The sequence below is a fragment of the Homo sapiens genome, chromosome 10 (genome assembly GCF_000001405.40).
Source record: "Homo sapiens chromosome 10, GRCh38.p14 Primary Assembly".
NCBI classification, from domain to species: domain Eukaryota; kingdom Metazoa; phylum Chordata; class Mammalia; order Primates; family Hominidae; genus Homo; species Homo sapiens.
Window position 1 is genome coordinate 108,034,858 of NC_000010.11, and position 26,791 is coordinate 108,061,648.

The window sequence follows — 26,791 nt, forward strand, 5'->3', positions numbered from 1 at the left end:
ATGAAGTATTAAGTGATTTTTATGAAAAAAGCAAAGTAATTTGACAGAGCATAATAATTACACTGTCAAAGAATATAAGTTTCTATTTTCTCAGAGAAGTCTATATTACATGGTTTCAGTTTCACAGGCTGTCATCAAGACAGCAAGATTTATTTCTCCTTTAATTGCACTACGGCAGTTTTTTTTATGGAAAATGTGTATGCCATGACTGCTTCTCAGAAGGTTGAAGAACTAACTCATGGCTTCTCAGAATGGTGTAGAACCCATGGCATCACTTACATATTCACTCATGTGCACAATTAAGAGACTGGCTTGCATCCAGTGGATTTGGAAAAGAACAGGCATGAAAGCCCTCTGGTGTTGGTCAAATATGGTAAGATATATAAGGATGATGATCTAGTAATAATGGGAAGGCCAGAAGTACTATTTTTCATGAGTGTTTTCCCCTGAATTGAAGCTCAAAGCAACTTTCCACCAAAGAAAGTGAGTTTTATGGTTATTTCAAGTTTGTAATCTCCCCTTTTAACCTCAGAAATTTCACACATAAATTATATAGAGGGAGAAAACAATCCAGAGCTGAGGATAAGGGGATAAAGTTAACATTGGCATTCATCCTTGGAGCAGAAGCTTATGTCATTGTATGCCAATTTAATTTGTCTGCATTTATTTCAACTCCAAATCTATTCAATGTCATGCATTGAGAGGGATTCAGAAGTTATGAGGTTGATGTCTTGTTTTGTGCTAGGCCCTAAGAGCAGTAAGCAGTCATCCTATGTCTCATTTTTCAGAAGCCTTGTATATGCATTGGAGAATTAAAACTTGGGTTTATAAAAGTATTTTATAATTGGTTTAATTTTTTTAAGTGTGGTCATATTCCAGATAATTACAGATATTTATTTTGCTTTAGATGTTTGGTAAAGTTGGGGAGTATTTGTTGAGTTTAGATCTTGAAGGGCAAATAAGTGAGAGAGAGAAAGAGAGAGCAAGTGGTGGAGACTCAAGCCCCTTCCATCTTATGCCTCTACCATTTGTTGTCTTTAAAGAAGTGTCGAATACACCATCCAATGGAGAAAAAGAGTGGAGGATATGCATGATGTGTGGGATGGCTTCATGGGCTAAAGTGGAAGTGGCATGAACTATTTCCTCCCATACTGTGTGGAAGTGTGGAGAGACTGGGAAATATATCTTTGTGCCTAGCAGTGACAGTAAATTGTCTGGTGAAGTCTCTACCACTTACTCTATACCCCAAACTAGTAACTGAATCCTTCCTGGTTTATTTAATGAAAGATTATACTCTAGTACTAGTAGCCAGTACCTGAAAACCGGGAACTGATTACTAAAAGAGAAGGATCCACTGGCTCTCTGGCTAACAAGCCCTAGTCCTGGGACCAATTGCCAGACACCCTCTTGCTGCCTACCTTCTTGGACCCCAAGTACTTGCCCCACTCTGGGAGTCCTGACTCTGGATCAGGTGACAGTCTATTCTCAGTGACAAGCTTTATTGCAATTCCCACCTCCTATGTAACCACCATAGCTCTTATGCATTGTTGCTGTTTGCTGACTTATTTTAACTACAAAGGCCATTAAGCATTTACTCTCCTATGTTCAGCAATCCTTGTGAAAACATCCCCAGTGATGCATTAGTTAACAGTCTGTCAACACTCCATAATAATTTTGATTTATCACTCAGCTATAAAATTTTTCAAAAGGCAAAGCTCGCCTACATTGCCTGAGCTCTGAAGCAGTTTTATTTGTACTCACTTTCTAAATAAAACTTGGGGAACTCAAAGGGTGGATGAGCAAGACTGGCAACTCAAAAGAAAAAGTGTGAGAAAGAAATAGGCAAGCCTAACGAGAGAAATGAGAGCTTTCCACAAAGGCACGGGGAGTTACCAAAGGTGGAGGGAAAAGGAGAGAGAGCACATGGAAGAGACTGACTGTAAGCAGAATACCAAATGAAGAGCCAAGAAAGAATCAACAATGAGAGATCCCATTGCCTTCTTTTTGGTATGTATCAAATCTCCCTCTGCCTTATTCATATAAGGATACACTTAATTCAACTTAGAACCCCCCTGGATATTTCAGGAGTATCTTCACAGATCAAGATCCTTAACCATATCTAAAATGTCCTTTTCACCATATAACTGCCCAGAATTAGCCAAACCATAAGGTCTGAAAGTATAAGCCTCATAGAATGACACCAACTACAAGTTTGGGGTGGGGAGCTCCAAAAGTTGAAACTTTCAGTTTCAACAATTGGCTAGAAAGACTTACATAATTTATTGAAGGCTATTATACTCACACTTTTGGATTACTACAGGGAAAGGATACCATTAAAATCAGCCAAAGGAAAAGACACACAGGGCAGAGTCTGGCAAGTTTCCAAATAGGAAGTTTCTATTGTCCTCAGGACACAATACCATCCTGACATTGATGGGTAATAATATGCATGGAGTATTGTCAACTAGGCAAGCTCACACAAGTTTTGATGTCCAGAATTTTGGTGTCCAGTATTTTGGTATTCACAGATACCCAAGCTTTGGTGTCATTACATAGGTATGATTGATTGAATGAGTGAGTGATTGCCCATAGGGTTAAACTCAGTCTTCAGATCATTTGATATCATGACCCGAAGTCCCCATCTTTAGTCACATGACTGGAATTTCTTGCATGGTCTGCCTCTAATTTTTGACTGTCAGGTATGGACGGTTCTACCCTAAGATCTGCTGTGGCCCAGCTTCTGCCGTGAAAAAAGATACTCCTAGCAGGTATGAAATAGATTATCTCCCAAAAGCCAAAGGCAGAGGCCGAACTTTCCTCTAGGCAAAGTCAAACTCTTTCCTCTACAGTAATACTCACAGTTTTTAGGGAATAAGACACATCTATCTTGGAGGGGACATAATTTAGTCTACCATATAAAGTTTTATTAATTCATCAAATTCTTATTGGTTGCCTGTTATACACTAGGCTCTATACCCAGGGCTGGAGATAGAAACCTAGATGGAGAGATCTCAGTAGGAGCTAAGAGATTAGTCAAGAGTTCATGGTGTTTTGGATATATAACAAGAAGGAAATTTAAGGTTTCTTTCTAAGTTTCTGACTTCAAAAAAACAGATAGTGAAGCTGAAGAGGGACCAATTTGAGGAGAAAGTTCATGTATTCATTCCTGAATAAATTAAGTTTACAGTTCCTTTGAGATTTCTATATACTAATTTCTGTGTGACAACTGAGAGAATCCCAAACTCAGTAGGGTTGACTAGGTCAACCTGTTTCTTAATAACGTGTTGCTTTTCCCATCCAAATACACCCTTTCTTGCCTTTATTGTGTGTTCTTCAATAATGTAGATGAATTCTGTAATCATTTGCCAGTTAGATTCATGTGTTTGTCATTAGAGGGCTCTGGATGAAAACTGGAGGAGGAAAGAGTTTTTTCCCCTAGCTTGAGCATCCTCTCTCAAGTACCTACAGTGGATCACTCTTGCAGTGCCATTCTGCAAAACAAGGGGGTCAGCAATATCCCCAGTAGCTTCCTCTGGTAGGCTACTAAGCAACTTTGAAATTACTTCTGAATGAAGCCATCTGCCTCAGACTATTTCCCTGGCACCTCAGAGGACAGATTTCTACCAGGGTTCTCAGCAAGTGTCTCTGGTGCTGCATCTCAGAAAACCACTTCTGCATTGTAAGCCACAGCTGAGACTTCTCCAGCAAGATCTAGATCTCAGTCTTGGGGGAAAAATACTGTTGATAGGTTAAGTAAGAGAAAGGGTAAAAATATTTATTTCATTTAGTTACAGAGAGATCATGAATAATTTTAAAGAGAGCTCTTCGGTAGAGAAGTGGACAGGAGCCAAATTGGAGCCAACTGAGGAGGAAGGGACAGGAGATAAAGTCAAGAAAATGCCATAAATCAGTTTGACTATAAAAGGAGGGAAGAGAAGGTAAAGAGCTGAATGGCTTTCCCACCACATAATGCAGCTTTACTTTTGGCTTTGCAAATCTAAGATTTTTACCTCTAAGATTCCCTATTCTATAGAATCTTTCAAGGTCAGATCTTAAGATGGCACCAAGGCAGCCGTGGGGCACACCTCAGGCCATCCACACTGTTTCTGAGGTGCAAATGAAATTACTACTAGAGGCAACTCATCACAGAAAGTGAGCACCCAGCAATCCCTTAGATCCCAATCAGAAAACTCTCAGAAGGGTTCCAGGGATAGGAAGATAACAACCTGACAATCCAGAAGGGTCTTATTTTCATTAATGAAAGTGCAGCTTTGGGGAACATCTCAGTATAAACGAATGATATTTCTGTTAAAGTAGTTAGCATCCAAAAGTAATAAATGTACTGTTTTATGTGGCAAGCAATAGTGACAGTTCTATTTTCCAAGATAATCACTCTCATTAACTGAAGCTGATTACTTCCTTAGCATTAACTCACTTAATCCTCTGACTTGAGGCAACACCACCTATATATACATATACATTCCTTTTGATCTTCAAACCATTTCTCTATGCTTTGTTTGTTTTGGTAGAGTGAGTTTTATAATGGTTAAATGTGGCAAACTGTCACTTGCCACTTTCTCATGACAGCAATTTAGCATCTAATGTCCAGAAATTGCAAGCACAAGGAAATACAGAGGCTTGCTAGCTGATTATGGACACACACAGGAGTGACTTCAGAAAGAGGCAAAATGCAGTTCAGGATAGGGCGCTGTGTTGAAGAAATATGACCCAAGTGTGTGGGGGAAGGAAATACAAGGCAGGAACTTTAAAAGCAGATTATTGATGGAAATTGATGACACGGAAGAGGAGCAGCTGATATTTTTATGTGTTAGGCTGGTGCAAAAGTAATTGTTTTTTTGTATTACTTTTGCTCGGCAGTGCAAAGAAAACCAGCACTTAGGCAAAAAATTCCTCAGCAAGGCAAATTTACTTCTGGAGAAGGGTGCTGCCTGCGTCAGTCATGATCACAAGAGCACTCCCAGCGGGATGGGGCAGGGGTTTTTATTTGTAACGCAATTGGTTCTTACTGCTGTGTCTTTTCCCCATTGACTGGGGTTGGACTGCACAATCTAAGCTAACCTGATTGGCTAAGGTTTAAAATTGAATAGGGTCAATTAGGTGGGAAGGTAGAGGCTGCCCGTTACTGGGCGGGAAGGCATGTCTGGACTTGTCTGGGCACAGCAAAGGCGAGAAGTGTTGTTTAACAGGTAGTTAGGAGACAAGGAAGTACAAAGAAGTTGGTCTTGAAAAACAAAGAACAGGAAACTAAAGCTTTTTGAAGAGGAATTTATCATCTGTGATACTTTCAATGGTAAAAACCACAGTTACTTTTGCACCAAGCTAGTAATAGTAGCAGTGCTATGGTTTGAATGTGTCTTCTTCAAAACTCAAGGGTTGCTAATGTGATAATATTAAGAGGTGAAGCATTTAAGGGGTGATTGGGTCATGAGGACACAAGAATGGGATTACAAAAGAGGCTTCACGCAGCATTCAGTGCACTTACCTTTCCACCTTCTGTCATGTGAGGACCCAGCGTTCCTTCCCATTGGAGAATGCAGCAACAAGGTGCCGCCTTGGAAGCAGAGAGCAGCTCTCACCAAGCAACTGAATATCTTTGTGTTGCTCTTCCCAGTCTCCAGAACTGTGAGAAAATATTCAAGTTCTTTATAAATTATCCAGTCTGTGGCATTATGCCACAGCAGCACAAAATGGACAAGTAATAATAGCAATAATTATCATAATGTTGTTATTAGCCCTCTTTCATCAAGTACCATGTATTGTGGTGTCACACATTGTGCCAAGGGCTTTGCAAGATGATCTCTTATCTAAGCACGTAGAGAACCCATCAAATCCACAGAGCACACTCTATATACTAGGCAAATTATTTAACTTTCCACACCCTCAGTTTGCAAATATTTAAAATGTAACTAAGGTCACAAATCTGGTTCATATTGGCAGACATAGATTTTAAATGTAAATCCAACAGGCTTTTAAGAGAAACTGTTAGCCGTCTTGTACGATTTGGACTATTAATAATGGCATCCGTGAGCTCTCTTCATATGATCATAATAAATGAACTGTGTGCCTCAGATCCAGAAAAATTAAGCAACTTTCTGCAAGTTTTCCCACTTGTAGAATGAAAAGGTTGGACCAGGTGATTTCTTTGGTTCTCTTTAGACTTAACATTTTACCTTTCTCCTTACTGCAAGCTTTCGTAGAGAGGCCTCTTGGTTTTCTTCTGCTACCATCAGGCAAAGCAAACCCCAAATAGCCCTTCTCAGCTGTAGACCATAATGAATACGTGAAAGGATGAATGGCAACATCATTGCTTTCAGCCCTGTGTCACAGGAATAGAGGAATGTGTGAGATATAGACTGAGAACCAACCTTTCTCTGACACCCCTAAATTCTAGGGGTTCTGTCTAACGAGAGAATTCTTAGGCTTTGGAAGGGATGCACGGATATCAAACAGTATCAGTCACCTAAATGCTCTTGCTACAACAATTTCTTGTTTTCCACCTTGATTTCCCAATATCAAATGAATCAGAGTCCAGAATACCCTGTATTATTCCCAGGGATTATCAAATGACAATGTGAAAAGGGGGAGTGTTAGCAGGTCCCTCTACCCTTCCTCTCTGTGATCATGGTCTCTCAAAAAGGTGATGTAAACTGGAGGCAGTAGTGGATTTTGATGGGCTCTACAATTTATTTTCATCTATCAACCACTGCCAAGGTGGGAACCCTACTATTTCCCAGGGAAACAGTGATTGCAGAAATACTGACTGGCAGAGTGAGGTGGAACTATGAGAATCTGATAGCACTGATTTATTTACAGTGTTCTGTGACTAGGCCAGGGAAAAAGTAACCTGAGAAATTTTCAAACATACATACTTGGATTTACATATTTACAGAACACTTTATACTCTTTTGCATTTTTCACCCAGTGAGGCCAATCTTAATCTGATGCCAATCTTATCGCCATCTAGGTTGTCCTGTTAGTGCTGTTTAACATCTTTAACAAATTAGGACCGTATCTAATTTGTTATATTACTGTGTCATTAAAATATGACAGTGGTTTGGAGTCTTAGGTGATCTCTATCCTTCTCTGACTATGACCCTAATGCTGCTTGGTTTTCTTTCGAATGTGTGGAGATAAAATTTACTTTTGAGATAAAAACGAACAGATGTTCACTTTTCATTATATTTGAGAGTCACTAACCAAAATTTTCCTCACTGTCCTTGTACTTTTGTTTTAATATTTGCTTTCTTTTTTTCGGCTGTTTATTTGGTTTTTACAAGCCTCTTTTCTACTTTTAAAGTTTGCTAATTTCAAAAATCTATTTGTACAATTCTTGAATTTTATTTTCCTCCTACTTAACTGCTCAATCATACAGGCAGTATATATATTGTTGGTGAAATAAAAGGAAGGATTTAGAAACAGGGAATACTATACTTTGCAGCAAAAACATAATAGATCTTTTCCTCTATCATAAATGTATGTTAAAATATTTAAATATAAAGTCAAAGTTTTTCTTCTATAAGTAGAAGCCCAACTTGTCCAGCTTTGCCTTTTTTCATTCTATTTCAATAGATGGTTTGAGATTATATGAAAATATCCAGACTTGCTTTCATTCTTGTTTTTCTCACAGAAGAAAAAATACAGTGCAATTTGACAAAGGTGAGGTTGGAATTTGGCAGATATTGAGCCAGATTCTCAGTTGTCTATTTGGTTTAGTTCATCAATTTTGTACAAATATTAATATAAAGCTACATCTTCTTCCTACAGAGTCATGGACCTCAGGTAGGCCACGGAGAAGCTGACAGCCCGGTGTGCCCCTTCTTATCAACTGCCTGTTTGTACACTGTGCCTGGAATTGCTCATTCTGGGAGAGACTGCTGTGTATTGGAGCAGGAGTCCTCCCACAATGGCAGGTTGTTTCATTTTCCCTCTTTTTCTGCTTTGTTCCTGCCATTTAAAGGATTTTTGTTTGTTTTTTCCATTGCAACATTTGTGGTGAGCTTTTGATTAGGCTGAAGGCTAACACAGCTAACGCTAACAATTTAAATGGGATAACTCTCAGGGAACCTGTATAGCTCTGTCCTTCTCCCCTTCCTCCCCCTCACCATCAATACCAACAACAGCCACTTTGCAAACCACATGCACCTTGCAAACCTTTTACAGAAGCAGATTCTTCCCTGACTAGGAGCTGAAAATATATGGAAGGTGAGTGTGTATTTAGACTTTGGGCTAGTGACAACAATTTTACTTTCCTACAAAAGGGAATTCGTGATTTCATAAGCAAGGTCGTTCGTTTACTTACAGTCCAAGATCTTGGAATTTCTGACAAGTCAACTGTGAATGGAATAATTCTTCCCCATCTGTTCCTTTTCGGAGACAAATTGACCCTGAAAGCATGGTGATTGAAGCTCTTTAACTTCTCTGCGATGGGGTCTTAACAGACAATGATCTGTAAAAAGAGGGGGTGATGGTGATATTTATTTTGATGATTGCTAACTAGCTCCTGCTTTGCGGTCTTTCATTCGATTGCATGTCTGTCATCTCTTCTAAATCTCACCAGCACTCCATAGTGCAGTCAGGCCTGCCTTAGAGGATTTGTTAAAAGTTCAGAGGCATTAATTGCCCAAAGTTTCACCAGATGGTACTCCCCTGTCAATTAGGTGTGATGTTCCTGATATATCTGATATTATCTTTATTGAACAAAAAATAGTTGGCTTGAACTATTGACAAAACCTATACTTCCACCCAGGCTTGAGGTCACTGACTAGAAAGTCTAGATGAAGGATGAGAACTCTAGCTGCATTTTTTTTTTTAGACGGAGTTTCGCTCTTGTCACCCAGTCTGGAGTGCAATGGCGCGATCTAGGCTAACTGCAATTAGTTGCATAATTGTAAAAGCTGGTATGAGATATTCCAACTTTGAGCTCAAAATCCATTTAGAACATCTGCCATGTGAAATCCCACCTGTAGTTTTGGCCATAAGCTATTTTTATTGTTAATTATGACTTTAGGTTTACACTGAATTATTTTATGTTGATGTGCTACAGTTGCAGGACTTTTTCTTAGTTCAGCTAAAGATGGGGTTCTTTGTCCCATGGCCACGAAAATTCAGGCTGGCAGACAATTTTTATGGTGAGTAAGACAGGGTTTTATTGGGTGAAAAGGAAGAAAAGGGGGAAACAAGGACACCCCACAAGGCCAGAGGCCCTGTTAGCGTGCTTCCCACCCAGGTATCTCAGGTTCCACACAGGAAGAATAGGGGCCAGGTTCCTCTCTGCTGCCAATGGGCAAACTCCCCAAGGCTCCACCCCAGTGCGCAGGCTGGCTGGAGTTTTTCTGGGGACCCCTTCACACCTGACTCTCTCACTACTATTTCCTAATAATGGGAGGCTGGGCATGGTGGCTCATGCCTGTAATTCCAGCACTTTGGGAGGCCGAGGTGGGCAGATCACCTGAGGTTGGGAGTTTGATACCAGCCTGACCAACATGGAGAAACCCTGTCTCTATTAAAAATACAAAATTAGCTGGGCATGGTGGCACATGCCTGTAGTCCCAGCTACTGGGGAGGCTGAGGCAGGAGAATCGCTTGAACCGGGAGGCAGAGGTTGCAGCAGGCTGAGATCATGCTATTGCACTCCAGTCTGAGCAACAAGAGCAAAACGCCGTCTCAATAAATAAATAAATAAATACATAAATAAATAAATAAATAAATAAATAAAGGGAGACTACTGGCCTGGCACTAAAATGTTCAGGACGTTTTAAGTATTGAAATAATGCTAAGGCAGGGCACGATGGCTCATGCCTGTGATTCTAGCATTTTGGGAGGCCAAGGCAGGTAGATCACCAGAGGTCAGGAGTTCCAGACCAGCCTGGCCAACATGGTGAAACACCATCTCTACTAATAATACAAAAATTAGCCAGCCATGGTGGTACACGCCTGCAGTCCCAGCTGCTTAGGAGGCTGAGGCACGAGAATTGCTTGAACCCAGCAGGCAGAGGTTGCAGTGAGCTGAGATCATGCCACTGCACTCCCTCCTGGGCAACAGAGTGAGACTTGGTCTCAAAAATAAATAATAACAACAAAATGAAATGAAATAAAATAAAATAATGCTAAAATGAAGAAAAATAGTAGTAATAATAATTCCCAGCCCCTTCTGAGTGTTTACTAGGTGTCAAGAGCTTTAAAATCTTTCAACAGCCCTGAGAAGCAGACTCTACTAGCATCCCCCTCATTTTATAGAGGAAAACACTGAGGCTTAGAGTTTAAGTTACCTAAGATTTAAGGCTTTGAGACATTAAAATAGTAAATTACTCAAGACTACCTGTTGATGGGTGATGGAATCACAATTTAATATAGGCATTTTGACTCCAGTGACAGCAGGGTTCATCACTCCACTAGGCTAGTTCTCTAGGCTTTATACCCAGAAGACCAGCGGAAACATACTTAAGAATAGTACAAAGAGCATGTGGAGATTCACACATCTGTGTGTGAGCATGTGTGTAAGTGTGTAAGAAACTATCCTCAGAGTGTGTGGCTGAGACTATGCAACAGTGACCCATCTTTGCTTCCCTATTGTGCTTGCAGATCTACGACAAATTCATCTGGATTTTCAGCAGATTTGGTGGTCTTTGGAGGAATTTCTCTGAGCTTAGCCTAGCTTTCTGTCCCAAACACAACATTTTCAGTTCTGCATGTTAGGTTTCATGTGACATGTTTGTGCTACTAAAATAAACTCCCTCTTAAATATGAATCCAAATTTCTTGCCAATATATTTTAGTATAATATGGAATTAATGACATTTCTAATTTGCTCATCAGTATACTTTAGAATGATGTGGAATCAGTAATAGATAATATATCATATATATGTGCATATATATATATATCTAAACATTAATCTATTTATCTGTCTATACATATACTGTGTATATATATACACGCACACACACACATATATATATATATATATACACACACACATATATATGTACATAAAGTGTTATTTGGGAGGACAGTATACAAAAATGCTATTGAAAGCCATCTGCGCTGTGAAAGCCAATGTGTGTGTGTAGCTATGTGTGTAGTCATCTTCTAAGATATAAGGTGTTTTAAGACTATATGTTATGAAAAAGACTTTTTTCTCAAAAATGATCTTAATTTGGAAAACAGGATGGTAAAAGTAACTTTAACATATTATTAGACATGAAAATTTAATTAAGACATTAGTTCTCTACCTAATGTTTTGTGTGTATGTATATCTATCTTAGCATATTTATGGCATAAGTTACAGCTAAGGACAAAGGATGAAAAATGCTAAATTACCCTCTCTTTGTTCCTCATTTGCCAAGCAAATGAATGAAAATGTATATCTCTGTCATTTGGCTTAAGAATCCCCCCTAAGAATTTAACCAAATAAATGATTTTAAAACTGTGTAGAAATACAAATATATGAATATTCAGAAGAGCATTGTGTTGATAACATTAAAAAACTAAAAACATCATTTTGATGGTTGATTTTATGTGTCAACCTGACTGAGCTAAGGTATGTTCAGAGAGCTGGCAAAACATTACTTCTGGGTGTATCTGTGATGGCTTTTCTGGCAGAGATTAACATTTGAATTGATAGACTGAGTGAAGAAGGTTGTCTTCAACAATGCTGGTAGGCATCATCCAATCACTTGAAGGCCTAAATAGGACAAAAAGTGGATAAGGGGTTAATTTGGTCTTTGCTTGAGCTGGGACACCATTTCCTTTTTCACTCAGACATCAATGACCCTGGTTCTCAGTTCTTTGAACAAAGACCAGAACTTACTCCAGTATCCCTGCCAATTCTCAGGCCTTTAGACTTGGAATGAATTATACCATCAGCTTTCCTGGTGTTTCAGCTTACAGAGTGGGAGCTCTCAGCCTCTGCAATTGCATGAACCAATTCCTATTATATATATGTAGATGAACAGATAGCATTTTAGGCTGTTCTTGCATTGCAATAAGGAAATATCTGAGACTAGATAATTTATAAGGAAAAGAGGTTTAATTGGCTCATGTGTCTGCAGGCTGTACAGGAAGCATGGCTCTGCCATCTGCTCAGCCTCTGGTGAGGCCTCAGGAAGCTTATAATCATGGCAGAAGGAAAAGGGGGAGCAAGCATTTCACATCGTGAGAGAGGGAGCAAAAGAAGCAAGAGAATCAGGGGGAGGTGCCACACAGTTTTAAACAAGCAGATCTCACAAGCACTCACTCACTATTGTGAAGACAGCACCCAGCCATGAGGGATCTATCCTCATGACCCAAACATCTCTCATCAGGCCCCACATCCAACACTGGGGATTGTGTCCCAACAGGAGAATTGGAGGAGACATCCAAAATGTATCAGAGAGATGGATAGATCTAAGATTGGCTAAGAATCAATACATTGATTTAATTTAATACAACCTAGCTTTCAACATATCATGACAGAATGAATTTAAGAATATAGAAACATGAATAATGCAGAAGCATGTCAATGTTAAACTCTTAAGTTTAAAAAATAAGTTAATAATCGCAGCACTTTGTGGGGCCAAGGTGGATGGATCACGAGGTCCGGAGATCTAGACCATCCTGGCTAACATGGTGAAACCCTGTCTCTACTAAAAATACAAAAAATTAGCTGCACGTGGTGGTCGGCGCCTGTAGTCCCAGCTACTTGGGAGGCTGAGGCAGGAGAATGGCGTGAACCCGGGAGGCAGAGCTTGCAGTGAGCCGAGATCACACCACTGCACTCCAGCCTGGGTGACAGAGCAAGACTCCATCTCAAAAACAAACAAAAAAGTTAATGAAGATTACAACATGAACTTGTTTTTGAACAGAGTATATAAAAACTGATAGGAAAAATGTGTGGAAGCGCATATAGAAACATGTTTAGATACTTCTTTTTAGAGAGTTTATAAATGATTTCATTTTTTCTTCATAGTGATATTAATGTTCATATTTTTAATCAATTCATAGAAAAATGGCTTTATACTTTCATGAGGGTTGGCTGTGCCCTTATGTAAACTTTAGTTGTCTTCTGATTTGCATGTTGCTTGAATAAGTTACTATACGATTGTCAAAAAATATATAAAATACTTAGGATTTCATGATTCTTATATTTTAAAACTGAATGAAAATTAGAGAAATTAATATGTCTTTTAGAATAAAATATGTGGTTTGCTGCAGAATTCCTGTACTTCCTAATTGTCCTTCCATGACTGGAATACAAACCCACCCATGGGCTTACCACAGTTGGAGAGATATAAATGGATTGTTCTCTTGAAGGGAGCTTCAGACCAACCTTCCTCCTCATTCTAGTCTTCAAGCCTCTCTCCTGCCTCTGAACAAAGCCTTTCGGGCTCGTGATGTGCTGTCCCAATTGCAGAAATAGTTCCACTATCAACCTGCTACATCATAAAATTCAGCCTGATCACATGGAGAAAATGTGACCTTCTGAGTAATTTGTCACTCTGAATAAAGTATCTCCTTATTAGAGAAGAGACTGTCTGTCCTCAGGGCACTTTGGAACAGTCAATTGCTAACTCTATTTAGACGTTTTTCCTCATTGCAAGGTGAATAAAGGTAGAAACCTTGCTGTGAGTCATGATCCAGCTCATGCCATCTGGTTAATCTAAGACTCTAAATAAGATGTCACCATCATTTGCCTAGAGAATGTCATTGGCCCAGAGAATATCTCATTCTGTAGAGTCTGAGATATTACATTACGGCTACCTTTGTTTTTTACCCTAAACATTCTCTCTAGCCTTCTCTCTCATAATGCTTCTACATTTAATCTGAGAGAGCAATGTTTACACTAAAAGAGGGTCTCATGCACTATAGGAGGTAATGGTGGCATGTATATTGAAGGGGGCATATTCTCAGGCCAGCCTCCTGCCATGATGGTAAAGATGGGACATGAAGAGAGGGTATGGCCATTGCCCAAGACTCCAGCTGAACAGACTCGGCTGCACTAGGGCTGGCTGCCAACTAGGTCCTCTGTACAGTTCCAGGTGTCCATGCAGGGAAAAAGTCCAGCCCCACATTTGGGCCTTAAGCAAAAGACTATAGCGTCAAAAGGCCATGATCCAGGCCAGTTGTTCACTCTGGAAATTCTGAGGTATGGCAGCAGAGAAGAATCCAGTCCCAGCAGTTTGGACAAGTGTAAGCAGACACACATTTGACATCATAAAAATTTACAGGCTAGGTAGTTAGACCATGGCCCTAAGAGAGGTTGCAAAGATAAGATTCCAGAGCTTGGAGAGAAATCTAAAGAAAAATTGACAGGGCCTCAGTTTTATAGGGATTGGGATAATAAACAGGTTAAGAGAACCTAGGGATATGGCTTAAGTGCTGTGGTTTGAATGAGACCTCAGGACAATGCTGGCTCACAAGCAAGCGTAGGAATACTGAGGCCTTCTGTGCAAGGTTGGTCTAGGAGATGAAGACCGATGATCCTGCAGGTGACCATAGGGTAAAGAGATCAAGGCTGGGCGCGGTGGCTCATCCCTGTAATCCCAGCACTTTGGGAGGCTGAGGCGGGTGGATCACGAGGTCAGGAGTTCGAGACCAGCCTGACCAACATGGTGAAACACCATCTCTACTAAAAATTCTCTATTAAAAATACAAAAATTAGCCAGGCATGGTGTTGTGCCCCTGTAATCCCAGCTACTTGGAAAGCTGAAGCAGGAGAACCACTTGAACCCGGGAGGTGGAGGTTGCAATGAGCCAAGATCACGCCACTACACTCCAGCCTGGGTGACAGAGTGAGACTCCGTCTTAAAAAAAAAAAAAGAAAAGAAAAAATCAAGTGAGCAGCTCTAGTGTTGCTTTCAGATGAAAGCCCCACAGGAAAACTTGCCTTCTTTCTGAAGAGCTGTGCCCCTGGATCACATTTCAGCAGTGAGGAGAGAAAATGCTTCTATAAAGCTTCCTTAGTGATACCAACAAGCAAGTGTCAGCCTGTCCTTGTCACAGCATTGGGGAAAATCCCTGACTCACAGAAATAACTTTGTTTTGTGGTCTGCGCTAAGGTAACAAGGAAGAGAGACCCTGGTTTAACCTAAAGTCTCTATCCTCATGGTCTGGTCTCTCTGGTATTCTTGCTGCACCTCATGGGAAGAGAACAAAGAATAAATGAGTCCTAGAAATAGAATCATAATCTTTCTAGCCTGTTCATGGCATATTAATTTTACTGTTTAATAGTAATTTTTCCAGCTAGAATATAAGCCCTGTGAGAGTAGGGATGGGGCCAGTCTTATTCACTGATGTGTCCCTGGAGTCTGATGGGTTCCTGGGTGAGTTTGAGTAGTCATAGGAGGGAGTGATTTCAGGAAGCTGTAAGAGATTTTGTTTTTATGTTAGACTTACCAGACTGGCATATGGCTGCTGGATCTGGCTACTGCAGGAGAGAAGACAGATACTAGAGGCCTAAAATGCAGTGTGAGCTCATCAAGGAAGGAGAGAGACCAAAATGGAAAAGTGAGTGGGACATAGGAAGCAGAATTGAAGCCTGAGAGAAAGAAGACTATATAGAGCCAGACACCCCAGAGTGAGGCCAGTCTCCAGAGAGGCCTGAGATGGGGATGGGCTTGGAGGAAGAAAATTTCAAGTGTTCTCTTAGTAAAAGGAGCTTTCTCCAATAAAGTGAGCCCTTCCAGAAATCCAATTTCTCATCTCATCTCATCTCATCTCATCTCATCTCATCTCATCTCATCTCATCTCATCTCATCTCATCTCATCTCATCATATGGTGATGTTGTTGATGGTAGGTACCCGACCCTGTCTCAGAGTAAGAATGCTGGTTATCAGGAGCTCAACTGAGGTGATATTTGAATGATCAGTTAAAGCAACAAGACAAAAGCAAAAGTAATTGCCAAGGACTGAATCACTTACTGCAGCAGTATAATCAAGAGGTCAAACTAGAGTGGAGTCAAAGTATTGACTTCCCTCTTTCCATTTCCTGTCATGGTACAGCACACCTATAGCAGGGTGTCACTGCCTAGTGAGTCCTGAATGCAAAGCTCACACAGTTTATTGGCCCTGGGACCTGGCAGAGAGAGAGGGGCCACCACCAAAGTGGGAAAAGGATAGGAATGGATTCTCCCCAGAGCCTCCAGAAGGGGCTGTCAATAGATGGATAACTCGGTTTTTGATCAGATGAAACTGATTTTGGATTTCTGGCCTCCAGAATTGTGATGGAATACATTTCTGTTATTCAAGCCACCAAACATGTGGTAATTTGTTACAGCATTCATAAGAAAATAATACACCCTCTGCCACCAGCACCATTGTCCATGCTACCATGGTCTAAAAATGGTTCCTAGTAAAGTTTCAAGAGTCTCCGAACTTGTGTCCCTAATCCACATTATCACCCAAACCAACCAATTTCCTACATTACAGGTAAAAAGGACATTACATCTAAAAGTGATCTCATGATCTCTGATCGTGTCATCCACTTTCCCTAGCTTCTACCACTTCTTCAAAGGTTTCTCATTGTTCCTAAAATAGAAAACAATTTTTATGACAGTTACATAATTTGCAGGCACCTTCATGGTCTAACTACTGGCTACCTCTCCAGCTTTATCTTACACTCCTCTTTCTCTTTTTTACTCAAGCAAACCAGCCACACTCATCTGCCTTTTGCCTTGTGCACTCCTTACATTTCCTGCTTCATCATCTCTTCTCCCTCCTACCCAACCACATTTAACTCCAAATCATCCTTGATGTTACAGCTCATCTTTCTGTAATTCTTCTGTCATACTCCTACCTCCCAAAGTCAAAACAATCTATTTTATGGTCTCCTAACATAATATACCTCTGAAGTTATACTTTTAATTAGCATATGTGTGTGTGTGTGCTTGTGTGAATGTGTGTCTGTCTGCCTGTCTCCTCTCAGAGTACCAGCTTTCAGAATATAAACCCCATGATGGCAAAAATAATTTATGATTATTCTCTCCATTATATCCTCTAACCTATCATAGTTGATGCTCAGTCCATTGAATAATTTGAATGCACATAAATTAGGAGACTGCTGCCCCAATCATGGCAGTACCACTGACTAGGGTGCTTCCATTAAATAAATTTCTGTCTTTTGTTATTAAAATTTATGTGTACACATGCAAATCTCACCCACTAGGGAACCTAACCATTTGGGAATAAATCATTTAAAGGGAGTTCTCAGTCTCTGGAAGTTTGAATAGAGAGAATTGTACATATTGCTTTTGTTCCCATATTCCAGATTAAATAATTGAGAATGAGAGAAGGCAGAGGTTCTATTCAGCATTACCCGCTAGTGGGTCTGGTTTCAAACTCAGCTTTGTATACACTAAAACCACAACATTTCCTTAAATTCTTCCTGCTAACTCCATATATATATATATATATATATATATACACATATATTTTAGGTGTCTCTGTGTGTGTGTGTGTGTGTATTCAGATACACAGAGACAGTAGACTATATACTGGGAGTGTGTATATATGTATGTATACATACAAACACATACACAGATAATAAGATGATATATATGTATATGAATATAAATATATCTATATATGTGTATATCTATACATATATGTATAGATATTATGCACATATATTTTTATATACATATATAAATATATGTATATAAATCTATACATAGATTATGTGTGTGTATATATATGTGTGTGTATTTATGCATAAGTGTGTGTTTTTATATATGTATGTGTGTGAGTGTATAGTCTCTCAAATAGACTATAATATACTCTTTGGGCAAAGGGGCAATGTTTTATAATTCCATGTTAAGTCTAACTGAAGCCCTAGACCAGTGGTCTAATGCTTGGAGAATGGATCAGGTATACAGCTGGTGATCAAGGCAGCCAGATCCAAAACTCCTGACATCAGGAGAGTCAGACACTATAGGGCAGAGATTATTTGCTCACTGATGGGTGGAGAGGTTAACTGGATCACTAAGTTCCTGTATTTTCTTTGTTTCCCACAACCCAGTATGCAGCACCTCTAAATAAATATGGCATTAAGTTAGATTGGACAGTTTTGCAATAAAGTTTTTAAAAATTGAAGATCTGCTTTTAATTCCAGTCTTAATTAAAGCCAAACTTTCCTTAGAAACTCAGGAGGAGAGATTTGCTCTCAGCTCATTCCCTTCCATTCTTAATAGACAGAAGAAGAAAGACCTTCAGATGCATAGGCTGGAAGAAAAGTTTAATTCTCTCTAAGCCATATCCGGTTGGGTTGTGAAAGAACCTTACATATCCTGACATCCTCCTCAATTGGCTCCCCTAGTATGACCATACTGTAGTTTCCTGAGAGACTAATGCTGCTATAAAGAAAGTCAATATTTGATGAGCAATTTCCTGAGAGACTAGTGCTGCTGTAAAGAACCTCAATATTTGATGAGCAATACTTGATGAGTAAAATGAGAAAATCTCTATTATTTTCAAAAAGTAACAAATAAGCAACAAAAGTAAGACCCAGAAATCTTCAGAAAACATATTGCTTGGGAGAAGAGAAAAAAGAAAAAAAATCCACTTTCTCTTTTGTACTTACATTTTCTTACATTCTTGATTGTTCTTGAGATATTCACTAATCCTATCTTGGTCCAGATCCTTTAGAGGCAAAATATCAGATATGTAAGGTCAGCTTCGAGGAGAGTCACGACAGAGAACCTCTATTGGCCGAGACACTAACTTCAAACCTGAATTTCAAGTGATTATGAGCAATACTAAAACATCGAATGGATCTTTTTGTTTTTTCTGGAGAAGAGTCCACACTGAGTTATAAGGGGTTCTAGAATCTGCCTACTTCCAATTTTGTTCATCCTGCCTTCATATAAGAGTAACAGCCCATTCTTGGATGGACAGTTTAGAACTTATAAACAATCTCATTTATAATGCTTAAGAGTAACTCTGTATTGAAGTTACCTTGCAATGAATCCTCTGGGAATTCAAATAGTCCCTTTATTCTGTGAAAACCTATGACTCTCAAAACTGTGCTAATTTATCATATGAGTTTATACTGGTATACAATTACCTACAGCTTACCTGTAGTTCAACTCTACTCATCCTTATTTATGTGGGCGCTTCATTTAAAATGGTGAGTATTAATTTCATTTTAATACTCGGTGCCTTTTTGCTATTTGATCTATGCCTTTTTGCTATCTATGTGTCTTCTTTTTTTCCTGAAATCAATTGCTTCATTTGTCACTTCTCATGTTGTCACTCTAAAAATAGGATATAGAAAATGCAGTTTCAAATCGTGTAGCCAATTATCACTGGAGTTATCACAGCCTGACAGCAGGCAGAAAGGAAAAAAAAAAAAATCAGAACTATTTAAATCATGGCATTAGTAACATCCCAGGCCCAGCTGTGAGAAGAGAGGTTGTGCTATGGCAGGAAAAAACACCAGAGTGGGGAATCCCAATTAACTGGGCAAGTGAAATTCAAAATTCATTATTTTCTTTTCTTTTTTTTTTTTGAGATGGAGTCTCACTCTGTCGCTCAGGCTGGAGTTCAACTCGCCTCCCATGTTCAAGCAATTCTCCTGCCTCAGCCTCCCGAGTAGCTGGGCTTACAGACAAGTGCCACCATGCCCGGCTAGTTTTTGTATTTTTAGTAGAGATGGGGTTTCCCGTTGTTGGCCAGGCTGGTCTCAAACTCCTAACCTCAAATGATCCTCCTGCTTCAGCCTCCCAAAGTGCTGGGGACTACAGGCCTGAGCCATCGCGCCTAGCCCAAAATTCATTTTGTTAATGCATTTAGTTTGTCTTTTTATTATGTATTTCTGGTGGGGAAGATATAAAAATAAAACTTTTCAGTAAAATTATTTCTGAATTATTGTACATATATCTAGAATTCTAAATATTTTCAAAGGAAACTTCAAGACACAGCGAAAATATTTTCGTTCTTTATATTTTGTAGCTTAGCTGCCACACATTGAGGATTTCAACCCAAAATAGGCTACAGGTCCATTTGAGAGAAATGAAGGGCCTAAAATTAAAATAAAACAAAACCAAACTTCAAGTAGTCTTAATAGGAGGAGGGCCTACCATTGTCTGTTCAGTTTCTACATTTAACTCAAGTAACACTGAGTTTTTCTTATTATTTGCTTTGAGGGATACTAAGATTCACATCTGTTAATTAACAAAATAAATCTGTAAATTAACAAAGCAGAAAATACTGTCTATTTAAAAACAAAATAGCCGAGTGCCGTGACTCATGCCTGTAATCCCAGTGCTTTGGGAGGCTGAAGTGGGCAGGTCACTTGAGGCCAGGTCACTTGAAATCCTCTCTCTACTAGAAATACAAAAATTAGCCAGGCATGGTGGTGCATGCCTGTAATCCTGGCTACTCAGGAGGATAATGCAGGAAAATCGCTTGAACCTGGGAGGCGGAGGTTGCAGTGAGTCGAGATCGCGCCACTGCACTCCAGCTCAGGCAACACAGCGAGACTGTATCAAAAATAAATAAATAAATACAATAAAATAAAAATGAAAACAAAATAAAACAAACAAAATAAACAAAACAAAACAATAATACCCAGTCCAGTGAAATCTTTCCCATGAATATGCAATCAATGTTGTCACTATAACAACTGCACACAAGAAGAGGGAAGGTCAGGCTGTTGGCATTGGATATGGTTGCATATGAAGCATTGATAATGTGCTTTCTTCTCTTCTTTCATGGTATGCATCTTCTTCAAAGAAAGGATAAGATCTCAAAGCAAGAAACTTTCTTCTGTTCAATCTGTGCTACAAGCTGTTAGTCAGCTGGCTTGTCCAAAGTTACTCCTCCTGCTTGGGTGGATTGATAGTAAGCCCGACTTCCTAGCCTGGATAACAGCCACTTTTACAAATCCTATTATGTCATACACTTCTCTCTTTCCATATGCACAAAAGTTGTGAATATTCATCCAATGCCATCAGCATTTGATTATTTCTATCTCACCTACTAGGCTATAAGCTCCATTAGTACAAGGATGTGTTTTTGTTTGTTTGTTGTTTGTTTCACTTTTATGCATCCTAGAAGCTATTTCTTTCAGTTATCTATTACTGTGCAGCAATTTACCACAAAACCTAGTGACTATAAACCAGTGTGATGATTACTCAAAAAAAATTAGACACAAAATTACCACATATGGTTGTAAATTTAAAACAACTGAAAGCAAGAACACAGACATTTGTATGACCACAATCATAGCCACATTATTCACAATGGTCAAAAGGTGAAAGCAATCCAAGTGTCTATTGATGGATGAATGGACAAAGAAATATTATTCAGTCTTAAAAAGGAAGGAAAGTCTGACACATGCTGCAAACTAGATGAAATTTGAAGACATCATGCTAAACAAAGTAAGCCAGTCACAAAGGAGCAAACACTGTATCATTCAACTTAGATGAGGTAACCTGGAGTAGTCAACATCATAGAGACAGAGAGTAGAATAGTGGTTGCCAGAGGCTGGGGAGAAAGTGTAATGGTGAGTTAGTATTTAATGATAAAGAACAACAGTTAGGGAAGATGACAACGTTATGAAGATGGATGGTTGGTGATAGTTGCATGTTTTAGTCCGTTTACACACTGCTGATGAAGACATACCTGAGATTGGGTACTTTATAAAGAAAAAGAAGTTTAATGGACTCACAGTTTCATGTGGCTGGGGAGGCCTCACAGTCATGGCAGAAGGTGAAAGGCATGTCTTACATGGTGGCAGACAAGAAAGAATGAGAGCCAAGCAAAAGGGCTTTCCCCTTACAAAACCATCAGATCTCATGAGACTTATTCTCACGAGAACAGTATGGGGGAAACCGCCCCTGTGATTCAATTATCTCCCACTGGATCCCTCCCACAACATGTGGAAACTATGAGAGCTACAATTCAAGATGAGATTTGGGTGGAGACACAGACAAACCATATTATTGCACAATGATGTAAATGTACTTATCATCACAGAAGTCCATACTTAAAAATGGTTAAAGTAGTAAATTTTATGTTTTGTGTATTTTACTACAATAACATGCATGCACACACACACACACACACACATGCAAACATATTACTTCACAGTTTCTGTGGGTCAGAAATTTATGCATAACTTAACTGGGTCCCCTGTTTCAGAGTCCCTCACAAAACTGAATCCAGGTGGCACTGACTAAAGGTCTCATCTGATCTATGACTGAAGAAGGATCCACTTCTAAGGTTGTGTGGTTGTTTGCTGAGTCAGGACCTCAAAGTTTTTAGGACCAAAAGCCTCAGTTACTAACTGGATATTGGTTCCAGGCTATTTTTCTGTTCCTTGCTATATGGTCCTCTTCAAATGTCAACTGGCTTAATCAAGACAAACCAGCCAAGAAGGCAATAAAGAGAGCAGCAAGACAAATGTCACAATATTTTGTAATATAATCAGAGAAGTGCATCCCTTAATGCTGTCATATTTTTTGGTTATAGCCAAATTGCTTAAGGAGAAGACATTACAAATAGCCATAAATAGCAGGAGGTTAGGTAGGACTTACTGGGACCGTTTTAGAAGTCTCTCTAAGAAGGTAGATAATAGGAATGGGTGAGAACTCCGAAGACAAGTTGAATCCTCCCACAGACAGGAGGTCATTGCTGAGCAGCAGCTCTACCCTGAACTCTGAGTCTTTAGTAAGGAAAGATGAAATTACAGGCTAGGGTCATGTCAGAGTCAGTCCAGAAGGAAGGCAATTTTGTTATTTTAGGAAAATAATGACCAGCTTTCTGGGTCAGGGAATGCATAGAGCCTAAGACTACTGCCAGGATGCAGCAGTATTTAAGACTCAGTCCAGTTCAAATGCTCTACACCTTGCTGGATGGGTTATGCAGATATTTGTGGTTGAAGCCTAGACCTTAGATTTTTCTAATTACTTTCTGTAATGGCTTTATAATTGGGATGGATTCCAAGTTAATTGTCTGATAGGCTTCTTTGGTTAAAAACTTCGACTGCAAAATATTTGCCAAGGCAACTCTACTTGCCATCTTTTCTGCCGATAAGATTTGAGAATTATACTTCTGGGCCAAGGGCAAGGGAAGCTTCTCAAGAGCTCCAATGCAAGGTGATTTTTCTGACTCTTGAGCAAAGAAATTTCTGGGTGATCAATGTAGCCTTTTTGACCAAGAACTTTATTTGGGGATATGGGGAGTAAAGGTGATAATACAGCTAGAGTGGAGAGACAGAGGAGAATGTTTTGTTTATTTTTATGAAGAGTCATCATGGCTTTTTTGTTTGTTTTTTCAAAGTGGGATGCTCAATAAAGGCAGGGGGAAATCATGTCACCTAGTGAAAGGACAAAAAGGCACATCAAATAAATAAAATGGACACCAAAGAGCCTCTCCTCAACCTGAAGCTGTCTCCTCCAATGTTGTGCATGGCTATCATTTGTTCTAAGTGACAAGAACTTCAGATTCCAGAAAACAATTAGCTCTTAGTCCAACATTTTGTAAAACAAAAAATGACATCCTTCCTCTATCTGAATCAAATACCCTAACTATATGAATAGTTAATATGTAAATATTTACATGCATAATAATACTCACAAACTACATGCATGTATTTGCAAATTGCATATGTATTTACAAATACCAAGGACTTTTCATTTCCATTTCATTTTTCATGAGGATTTTTTATCTCAATAGGAAATCAACGTATAGAGTGGCCATAGTTATCTTCCTGTAATTCCATCATAGGAGATTATTATTGTTAGGTAAAATGACACACAGATATGTTAACTTAGTCACAACAATTTTAGGGATGAGAACGGGTGGACATAAATGGGGAAGTTTCTAGTGGATTGCCTTCCTTGACTCAGTGGAGCTCTTTCACTTAATCAGCCTAAAAAATGCAGTTGGATACAGAATCCTGCCACTGAAGCTCTAAGTAACATGAAGAAGGTACCTTAGACATCCCATAAGGAATGTGAATCCAAAGAACTAGGAACTAGCCAAACCTCACCTTCATCAACAAGTAGCTTGTTTCTAGTCTATTTTGCTGGTTGTAAATTTGCTGTAGTGCAAGTAACCAATCCTGTATGAATGAAAAAAAAACATATCAATTAATAACGAAGGCTTTTATGGCAAAGAAGCCAATATTTTAGACAGATTTAAGATGTCTTCATCAAAAAGATGAAAACAATGTAAAAGGTTTGCCTTTACTGACTCTGCTTTTTTTTAAAATTCTGTCATTCCAAACAGTTCAAATGTAAAAGTGATACTATTTTCCATTTTTTCATCTAGGAATTCATACCACCTCCCACTGGCTTGAATGTAATATCTTTAAAAAAATTCACTATTTCCAGTGTTACAAGTATCCTCTTTTAAATTATATTCAGTCTAAAAACTCATTCTCTATGATAAAGTAAGTTATCTTTCTTATTTCTTTTTGGAATACCCTGAACTTGCTTATCAATCTTGGAATGCACTTGAGATACCAAACCTCAAAAAATACATTGAGCTCTGAAATTTTCTAAGAGAATTTCTCAGCACACCAAGGCTCGCTTTCTGAAACCATGCTCTTGAAACCAGGCAACTCCAAAGGCTCTTCCTCCTTTTCCTCAAATTTATTGTCAAAAATTTGTGAAATTCTTTGTAGAAACAAACAGTAAAAACCAGAATGTGTTCCTGTCAACATACTATTTTGCTTTAAAATCTAGTTTCTCCTTCCTCTTCCTTCTCATTTATCTGTCTTAAACACCTTCCTGAAAGATTCAGCTTTATATTTTGCATATACTCTAGAATGCATGAGTTATGTAGAATCCTTAAGTTTGGCAATAACATGTCTGATTCCATTTACATCTTGTAGAGGAAGAAGGGAATTACTGCTTATACAAAATTATATTATGTCCAGCAGGATATTTTTGATGACCCAACACAAGAAATGCAATAGAACATTCAAGTGAGAGGTCCAAAATGGTTTATTCTTTTATACATAGACAGTCAAATTGGAAGGCTTACTGTATTTCGGTTCCAACATACTGTAAATGATAAACACTTTGATAAAAGAAAGATGTTTTGTTATAAATTTAAGTAAACTCCAATTTACCCACAGTTTTTTTTACCTCTAATTTGTTTTGTGTAATGATTTCTTATATTGTAGTGCATTATACTTACCTCAATAAAATAATTTTTCCCAAAACAGGGATAGAATTGGTTTAAGTAAATGTGTATTTAAGTTTAATTCCATGTTTAAGCTCAAACAATCTCTTTTGGTAAGAATTCAAACACACACACACAAAGACATACACATAAATACACACTGAATTTTTCTTGATAGGTTTATGGAAAACTAAAAATTTCTGACTTTTGCCTGCACTATGTTTACATTATTTTCCCCCTTCTATTATCTCCTCACCCATGTTGATATAAATATAAACATCATATATATATATACCCATATATTTCATGCTTGAGTTTCCATTTAGAGATTCAATCCGAATTCTATACACAAATATGCTCAAAACTTGAAACACATAAGCTTACTTTAAAGAATGACTCATTGCTGCCCATGAAGCTATGTCAATACTTATGCAATTCCTTTTCCTTTCAAATTTATCTTTCCATACTCTGCTTCATGAGACTGTGCAAACAACTCTTCTCTGTCATTAGATGGCTTCCTCTTAAGTCCCATAGAAAAATGCACAAAAGGAAGACAAAGACAGGAGGAAGAGAAAAGGAAGGGCTCCTTTCCATTCTGTTCACTGTTTCTGTCAGCAAGTTACTTACTTGAGAAGCAGCAGTGTTAAAGGATGTAGTTTCTTTTGATATTCCTGGAACTAGCCGCCTCTGAGGCAGCAGAACCATGTGAGCATGGTTTATGGGAATGGTTTGATGGTTTACTTGGCACTGAATATAGCAGTGAGTTCTTCACTAAAAGAAAATGGGAAAATGGCAATCCATGGCACTCAGTTTCCTTACAATTAATGTCACTTGTGGTTGATTGTGACAAAGATCTTACTAGAGCAATAGCTTTGGGCACTAAGTGGCAACTGTACTTTATCTTACAGAAATAATAAAGTCTATAAAGCCTGTGAGTAAGATGGCCAATACTCACTGCTCTCTGGAGCTTTCAGAAAGAAATTATGAACTTAGTCTCTAATCTCTGAGATCAACTCAGTGGCTAAGTAACAGAAAACTTCAATGGTGGCCTGAAACTAAAATCTTATTTCTTGCAACTCTCTAAAAAAGAAATCCAAATTTTATTGTGTGGGTTGCATGACTACATGATAATGTGATTTACAGTCACAAAACCCCTCATGTGGTTGTTAGGACATTGGAAAGAAATAGGAACCATGACCTTGGAATAGAGACATCTGGATGGATTTAGAAGAAAATGAACACTTTGAACACCTGAATCATTCAGTGCCTTTTCTAAAAAAAAAAATCATAGCATATAAAAAGATATTTTAATCTTTTTGCATGTTCTTTGAATACAGAGCTTATCATTTGATATAAATACAGCTCATAATTCATAGTTTTTTGGCCTTCTTTTACATTTTTTTCTTTCCCCCTTCAATTTACAGTGATACCTACTCTTGGCAAAGCCAGCAACTTTAAACTAAACATAACAGTTTCCACCTACCCCAAACCTGTATCTTTTCATGGGTCTCCTACTAGGTTAACTTCTATTCATCAAATTAATTACCAAATTCAGTTCAGATCAGAAAAGATTTTGGAATTTACTACATGCCTATAATGATGCTAGACACAAACACTGATATCGAAGTAAGCTTCACACCCATGCATCCCTTTTCATTTTTTTC

At 38.7% G+C, this 26,791-nt stretch overlaps 1 long non-coding RNA gene across 1 annotated transcript in view, besides 5 other annotated features; it reads right to left on the reverse strand.

Moving 5' to 3' along the window:
- Positions 1–26,791, reverse strand: part of LINC01435 (long intergenic non-protein coding RNA 1435) — a 197,718-nt gene that overhangs the window by 163,282 nt on the left and 7,645 nt on the right. The window contains exons 2-4 of the long non-coding RNA NR_125760.1: positions 8,321–8,467; positions 6,192–6,337; positions 5,504–5,641 (exon numbers count right to left, since the gene is read on the reverse strand). This is a non-coding gene — a long non-coding RNA (long intergenic non-protein coding RNA 1435). The remainder of the gene's footprint in view (positions 1–5,503; positions 5,642–6,191; positions 6,338–8,320; positions 8,468–26,791) is intronic.
- Positions 4,742–5,941: an enhancer, noted in NCBI's record as "MED14-independent group 3 enhancer chr10:109799357-109800556 (GRCh37/hg19 assembly coordinates)". NCBI's record gives its function as "activates an origin of replication core promoter dependent on BRD2, BRD4, P300/CBP and CDK7 cofactors, and independent of MED14, by STARR-seq in HCT116 cells {active_cell/tissue: HCT116}" and the evidence as "EXISTENCE:reporter gene assay evidence [ECO:0000049][PMID:35650434]".
- Positions 5,006–5,507: an enhancer, noted in NCBI's record as "NANOG hESC enhancer chr10:109799621-109800122 (GRCh37/hg19 assembly coordinates)". NCBI's record gives its function as "activates a minimal SCP1, AML or CMV promoter by ChIP-STARR-seq in primed H9 embryonic stem cells {active_cell/tissue: H9 hESC(primed)}" and the evidence as "EXISTENCE:reporter gene assay evidence [ECO:0000049][PMID:30033119]".
- Positions 5,098–5,237: an enhancer, noted in NCBI's record as "active region_3993". NCBI's record gives its function as "activates an Ori minimal core promoter by ATAC-STARR-seq in GM12878 lymphoblastoid cells {active_cell/tissue: GM12878}" and the evidence as "EXISTENCE:reporter gene assay evidence [ECO:0000049][PMID:35858748]".
- Positions 5,248–5,307: an enhancer, noted in NCBI's record as "active region_3994". NCBI's record gives its function as "activates an Ori minimal core promoter by ATAC-STARR-seq in GM12878 lymphoblastoid cells {active_cell/tissue: GM12878}" and the evidence as "EXISTENCE:reporter gene assay evidence [ECO:0000049][PMID:35858748]".
- Positions 15,064–15,123: an enhancer, noted in NCBI's record as "active region_3995". NCBI's record gives its function as "activates an Ori minimal core promoter by ATAC-STARR-seq in GM12878 lymphoblastoid cells {active_cell/tissue: GM12878}" and the evidence as "EXISTENCE:reporter gene assay evidence [ECO:0000049][PMID:35858748]".